The sequence below is a fragment of the Homo sapiens genome, chromosome 4 (genome assembly GCF_000001405.40).
Source record: "Homo sapiens chromosome 4, GRCh38.p14 Primary Assembly".
Classification (NCBI taxonomy): domain Eukaryota; kingdom Metazoa; phylum Chordata; class Mammalia; order Primates; family Hominidae; genus Homo; species Homo sapiens.
This window is the reverse complement of record NC_000004.12, coordinates 138,643,256-138,650,951: the sequence shown is the minus strand read 5'-3', so window position 1 is coordinate 138,650,951 and position 7,696 is coordinate 138,643,256. Positions and strand designations below refer to the sequence as shown.

The following is a 7,696-nucleotide window of genomic DNA, read 5'->3' as shown; positions in this document are numbered from 1 at the left end:
GGCTGAGAAGCTCTACTTCCCTTCCTACATACTTTGCCCTATGCATCTCTTCCATCTGGCTGTTCATCTGTATTTTTTGTAATATCCTCTGAATATCACGTTTTAAATAAAATAATTTAAATTTTGCTTTGATAAAATTTGCCATATTTTGTTATATTGTTGACATAGTTAAACTTATTTTAGAAGGTAGCAAAACCAAGATTAAGAATGACTGTTTTTCACAGAATTTAGACACAATCTGCCTTCAACTCTGTTCACCGTATACTCTCCAGTTGCCAACTCTGTTCTCAAAGGACAAGGAAGGAAATAAGAGAAAAGAACAAGCACCCAGATGAATAGGACCCCTTCCACACATATTATTGCTTTTCTAAATGTGTTCCTGTGTGTGTGCACATATGAGCAGACACTGGAACTTTTTCTTTAAGCGCTGTGAGTGCAAGATTATGGTAACTCTTTTCTCATATCCATAACCCCACTATGTGCTCTGCCACTGTGGGGATGGGCACACACGTTTGATTGATTCTCTCAACTTCTGCTCACTCGGTTGTTAAAGGTCTCAATAACTAAACAGCTTTCTCTCTGTAACACGTATTTTTTCATAAGTCATATATGGCACATTTACTTTCTTTTGAAATAGGCTATTTTACAGGCAAAATGTTGTACATCAATTACTTCATTTAAAAATGTTTCTTTCCAGAAGTTGAAGAAGAACAACAAAAGAACCCATAATCTTATTGATTGGGATGTGTTGAAAATTTTAACTGAAGTATATTTTTTATAGCACTGAAATTCAATGCCTTTGAAGTAGGAAGTAGACGGTTTTCCATGAAGACAGAAAGCTTTTAATTAATATTCATAAGAATTGATATGTATAATTTTGGTCACTGGAGGACTACTATAGTTTCCCATTGATGCAATAGAAATATATTGAGGACAACAAAAAAGTAATTAACAACTGAATATGAGGGTCATAAAGTTAAATTATTCCCTAGTTCATAGTACACTCTTCATGCATACAGAATTATTTTCTGAAAGTAAGACGATACGAATGTCATGTTTTTCTTCATCTCTAAATTGTGTATTTAATGTTTTTCTTGAACAAAGACTACTTTGGGTACAATAAAGATAATTAAATGCTGAATACAGAAGCTCGAATGTTGTGAGGAATTTAGGAATAATGGTAAGAGATAATAGATAAAACATAAATTCCACTCTATTTAAATTTCTTATTTCTGAAATGTATAAAGTATTATTTAAACTTAGATACTTGGAGCATTATAGTGATTGAAATTGTCACATGGAAATCTGTGTTCTGATCCTGACTGAACAGGTGAAAATCAATAAGCCATTTTTGTGTTCATAGGCCAGCAAATAAATACGTATTCAATTCAGTTTAGTTCAGTTCGACATAGTTATAGAGTGCTTTTTTTTTTTTAAGGTAACTGGTAGTACTGAAAGATTCAGTTCCTTTCCTCAGGAAGCTTAAGAAGAAATGCATGAATGTGATTGCAGAAAGCTATGGTGTACAGTGCCGATAAGCATTCGACATCTTTTCTCCCTTTGTTTGTTTTTCATTATTTAAATATGCATTCCAGAATAGTTCTCTGGGTACCAATAAAGCTGATAGGTAAAATATAACTTGTGGCATATGACAATGCTTATTTGGAACTATGTTCCCTTTTTAGATGCAGTCTAAAACTTTCCTGTCTTTATGATTTGCTAATTACACAATAAAAAATATGAAAAGGGATGGTTTTCCTAGGCACCAGATGCCACATCAGAGGCTGGTTATACAGAGATGTTGTTACACAGATCCCAGTGTGTTTAAGTCACATTGTAGCTATTGAAACATAATATCTAAGATAACTTACAAGTGTGGGAATTTGCATATTGTGATGTGATTTTCTGTGGTCCTAACTGTTCCCTCTAAGAGATCATCTTCCATGTTTACTCAACTCCATGTTCACTGCCAAGGTGAGCAGTGACATGAGCCTTGAGTGGGAAGGGGAAGAGGAGGTATGTTATGGAAAGACATTTACATATTTTATCCTGGAACCCCATCTGTGCCTGTTGGGGGATGGGGTGCGCGGCAAGGAGGGAGTTAGTGAGATGAAGTAGAAGGGGAAAAAGCACCCAAAGGACTAAGCTCCTCATTTTCACCCTACCAGCTGCATGTTCTATTACTTAGAGTGTAATTTCAGTTATCCAACTTCTCTAATACACTGTTTCTTCTCTGAGGGCTAAAGCCAGTTGTATTAGTCCATTTTCAAACTGCTATAAAGAGATACCTGAGACTGGGTAATTTATAAAGGAAAGAGGTTTAATTGACTTGCAGCTCTGCGTGGCTGGGAAGCCCTCAGAAAACTTACAATCATGGTGGAAGGTGAAGCAGGAGGGAACACAAACACATGGCAGCAGAAGAGAGAAGAGTGAGTGAAGGAGGAACTTGTTAAACACTTATAAAACCATTAGGCCTCATGAGAACTCACTATCATGAGAACAGCATGGGGAAAACTGACCCCATGATCCAGTCACTTCCTACCAGGTTCCTCTGTCAACACCTATGGATTACAATTCAAGATGAGATTTGGGTGGGAACATAAAGCCTAACCATATCACCAGTTATTCCAATATTCAAATCGTCAAGGCAAGGGGTTAAGAGACATGTGGAACATGAGTGTGGGTAATGGCAGGGAGGTGAAAGGGGTGATGTGGGTGTGGAAGTGGATGGAGAGCTTTGGACATGGAAGGAAGAAGACGGTGTTGGGTTGAATGCTCTGGGGTCAGAGAGTAGTAGGTGTTCTGGGCTGAATTGTGTCCTCCCACAATTCGCATGCTGACGCCCAAACCCTAGTACCTCAGGAAGTGACTATTTTTGGAGACAGGGTCTTTAAAGAGGTAGTTAAGGTAAAATGGGATCATTGGGATGGGCTCTATTCTAATATGGCTGGTGTGCTAGTAAGGAGAAAAGATTGAGATGCAGACAACACACAGACTGAGGGACAGCCACTTGAGGACAGAGGGAGAAGATGGACACTTACGAGCCAAGGAGAGAAGCCTTAGAAGAAAGAACCCTGCTGAAATCTTGATATTGAATTTCCAACACCCAGAATTGTGAGAAAATAAATGTTGTTTAAGCCACTCAGTCTGTGGCACTTTGTTACAGCAACCCAAGCAAACTAATGTAGTAGGAGACCAAGGAAGTGAGATTGGTTCCTAAGGAAGTGGGATCACTTCTCCCGCAGCAGGTGGTATGTGGCTGAACACCACTGGGAGGTGGTTGAGGTCTGAATGCAGAGAGTGTCAGACTCATTTGCAAGGCTGTGGAAGCTTGTTTCTGAACCCTCAGGCCAGGCTACTCCAGCTGTGCTCTCCAGGAGAGTTGCATTTTTTCCAGGTTCTACACCTGCTCTGCATTTTTTGGAAGGAAGTAAGGAGTCATAATAAAATAGAGGAAGGGGAAAGGCGATCATTCCTGTGGCCTTCCAGGGAGCAGGCAGTGAGGAGATGCATTGCCTATAGAGATTTTAAAACCAGCTATAAAACTGCCTATGAGTTGGTGTGCTTCTTATTGTCACCCTGCTCCAGCAATTTCAAACAATTTCAGAGGTAAAATACTGCAAAGGAAATATTTTGTAGGCCTAAGTGCTAAATAATTGCTATGGGTACTGTTGAATTTTATGAATGTATATCAATGCTTCCAATTGAACATATTTTTACTACCTTGTTCTTTAATAAAAATTTCAATCTGCATGGAAGTTAATTTGGAGTATATGGGAGACCCTGCTGTAGGCCAAGTCAGCTATAAGCATTGGTTTTGAGAGTAATTCATTAGGGCTCAGGATTGGGTGAGCTGCTAGCAGTGCAGTTTTTGTCTCCCCGCCCTGTGGTACTTCATGTTACTGCTTTTAAACAGTAAGTTACAAATTAACAGTGATAGCACATGATCATAAAGATGAAGAAAGGTAACAAGTTACTTCAATTCTATGATCTTCTGTGACCAGTTGGAGTTTTTGCTTTTGTCTAATACTTTAAAAAGTCAAAACAAATGTGAACTGTGAGGTGTAATATTTTTGTTTAGTAAGTGCACACATAGTCCAAACATGAAATATTTTGCTAAATTTGAATACTATCATGAAAATTAAAATTAATATTAAAAATTCCTTTAAACTAGTACTTTTTAAAAACTACAGGACACCTCAAGAGAATAATGGTTCTTACAGAATAAGAACCATTTGTGGGCTGGAGGAAAGAGGTATTAAAAAATAGTCTTTTCTGAGTGTTTAATACGTCAGCTTCATCACTGGTTACCCCTTGTTTCTGTTCCTCTCTATTATCTTTAAAGAGGGTAGAGCATTGATCTGATTTCTGTTTTTGAGATGAGGTTTAGACCTCACGCCCTGTGAGCTTAGACATTAACCAACTAGGGGAATGCAAATTATATTTTCTCACATAGGCGTTATAGACATTCAAACATAAGGTGTACCAAGGCCCAGATTAACGTTAGATTAATTTGCTCTTTACTGGTTCATTCCATATACTCTCCTTGAGGGCTGACTCTGTGTCTGACACTTTGCTAGATACTAATTCCTGCTTTTGAGAAAACATAGTTTGATTGGAGTGACAGATATTCAAGCAAATAACTGTGACACAGAGTAGGAACATGAAGAGCATGAAGTAAAGAGCAAGTAATTAGTCCTGTTGAGTTGAGAACAGATGATGATTTTTCAGCTGGTTTTAAAAAAAGTGGTTCTTTGCCAGGAAAAGCTAGGGCAAAGCATTATAGGGAATGCTTTGGGAAGAGCATATGAAACTATGGAAGCATGGAAGTCCATGGAGAGACTGGGGGGAGCAGTGGGTAGCTGGTTCTCTGCTGGGCACAGTGGGAGTCTCCCTAGATGAGGCTGGTGGATGGCAGGGACTGGGCTTTATTCCAAAGTCTGTCTGTGGGGCCAGCAAATGATTTATTGAAGAAGGACGACTTGAACAGAACGAGTTTTGGAAATAGTGCTCAGGTAGTATTGCATTGGAATGGGGAGGTCAAAGGACGGGAGAAACATCAGTAGGCAAGTTTTCTGTTACCTGCCCACAAATGAGGCAGGTCCAGCAGCTGGTACCAGTGTCTCCGAAGAAGCTCTGTATCAGCAGATGTGTCCCAGAGTCCCAGGCCCTGCTTCTCACCTTTTCCACAGGGATAAACTATCACGTTCACTTTGGGAGGCAGAGGTGGGTGGATCACTTGAGACCAGGAGTCCAAGACCAGCCTAGCCAACATGGCGAAACCCCGCCTCTACTAAAAATACAAAAAGTAGCGGGGTGTGGTGATGCATGCCTGTAATCTGAGGCTACATGGGTTGCTGAAGCATGAGAGTCACTTGAACCCTGGAGGCAGAGGTTGCAGTGAGCTCAGATTGCTGCACTGCACTCCAGTCTGGGTGACAGAGCAAGACCCTGCCAAAAACAAAAACAAAAAAACCAAAAAACTATCACTTAAATTGCTATCAAACACAAGTTGGTTCTGCCACGACTGGGCTGACTCAGCCTAAAAAAATTTCTAAGTGTCATGTGTCATTTTAGGTAGATTTTATTATTTCCCCATCTGTTGAGTTTAATCTGGTTTAGCCAATAAAATCAAAAGATGGGAATAAATCAACTTCTTGTATTAGTCTGTATTCTGGTTTCTTTGAAGGATAAATCTTTAAAAAATATTTAATTTTTTCAGAGTAATACACATACGTGGTTTATTAGTATTTCAAGGGTTTTATTGTTAATATTGGAGCTGCCAGCCCTGTGGGGTGTTCACTTTAATGCTTTTCGCTATTCTCCTGGTATTTATCTCTATATTTCTAAATTGTTAATGAGTACATAGGGAGGCCTTGTCTCCTGGTCGTCTTCGTGGTATTTACATCAGGTGGTCAGGACATTTTGGAGAGCAGCAGCAGAAGAGGGCATCTCATTGTTGAGTATTTCACCTTTACTTAACTTTCCTGATTTATGTCCAGCACCTTTTCCTTTCTCTACACCCTGCCTGTTAGAGGCTAGGGTAACCCTGCCTGTTACCCTGAAATGGGAACTTCTCTGTACATCCAGGAAGGGCACTACAGGAGGTAGAATTGCTCCTGCTTTTCAGACTTCCAACTCATGCCCTTAGTCAAGCCCCTGCCTCACTCATTCCTCCCAAGATAACTGCTGGCTGTAATTCTGGAGTTTGAATTGACTTGTGTCTCTAGGCACTTGACACTCAGTTTTCTCAAGAGTCTAACTCCTCGGTCAGCTTTTTATCTTCCAAATATGTGTTGATATTGCTCGTTCCCTGCTGCTGCTTTGTGTTTGTGCTTTGTGGGTTTGTATCTGTTAAGCATTGATTATTCTTAGTGCAGTGTGATTTGAGGAGTAAAGAAACATACATGTGCTGATTTCACCGTGGTGAACTGGAAATCGCTGAAAAGCAAATTGCGTAATAATAACAACCACCATGGCAATCAATTATTGTTTTAAAATATTGAATGCACTTTCACATAGTTAATTTCATGTGATATTTAGAAATCCCTGATGAGGACAGTAGGAAGGGGCTAGTATGCCTATTTTATGGACAAAGAAACAGGTACAAAAGGGTAAAGTAACTGGTTCAATTTCATAGGATGAGTTAATGAAAGAATTAGAATATACACAGTTTTCTGATTCCTAGCCAAGGCTCCTTTCTGGGAGGTTTTCTAGAGGTTAATATTTTGGATAAAATCCTTTTATCTCTTTTTGACATAAATTGCAGATAATTTTAACAAGAAATAGGTCAGTTCTTCTCCTCCATGACTATTATAACTTTACATCATTGCATATTTCTAAAGATAAGCATCTTTTCAGCATTTGCAATACACTACTTGCTGAATAGATCCTAAAAGCACAAATTTTCCCTGTGGGCTTATGATCTAATGAGACATATAAGCCCATAAAGGCAGAAAATGAATAAGGAGAAGTTGGGTAACTCTCCTCGGATACACATATCTGGCATCTGGCTGCATGTTCAGAGGCATTTTTCTTTCTTGAATTTTTGGGTCCTCTCCCACAGCCACTTAGCTATGAGAGATATATTTAAAGGGAAGGAAGAAAGGACTTCTGAGGAGAAATTTTAAAGAGAGAAAAAAGGAATTGCTGTAGGTTTGGATATAGAGTTCTTAGGCTATGTGGAATAGAACACAAACACTCCTTGGCTTATACAAAACAAAATAACCCACCTAGAAATGAAAGCTCGATTAATACAGGGCAAACATAAATGTTTGCTCCCAAACATTTCTTCCTTCTCTCTTTGTGATCTCATGAGTGTTATTCTGAAGAAATCTCCTATATAGGACAGAAACATTTTCAAAGAAAGGTGAAAAAATGTACGAAGCTGGTTGCCACTTCAAGAGACTCATGTAACAATGACACTAATTGTCACTAAATGACCTATGTTTTTCCAGTCCTTAATTTGATGTATACTTTAATGTAAGAAAAAAACTGATGAAAATGAATAGAGGCTCCATTGCCATTTTTAGGGTAGTTTTCAAGGTTTATCAAAGGAAGGACTTAGGGAAGGGTGATGGTTGCAGCTTAAACAAGGAAGCAATCCATAGGAAGGGCCCAAATTCTTCACGCCACCTACTCCAACACACGAGTTCACATATTGCAAGCAGAACTACCAAATACCTGGTGACCTAAC

General features: G+C 39.0%; 1 annotated feature.

The window, feature by feature from the left end:
- Positions 3,063 to 3,908: an enhancer, noted in NCBI's record as "NANOG-H3K27ac hESC enhancer chr4:139568198-139569043 (GRCh37/hg19 assembly coordinates)". NCBI's record gives its function as "activates a minimal SCP1, AML or CMV promoter by ChIP-STARR-seq in naive H9 embryonic stem cells {active_cell/tissue: H9 hESC(naive)}" and the evidence as "EXISTENCE:reporter gene assay evidence [ECO:0000049][PMID:30033119]".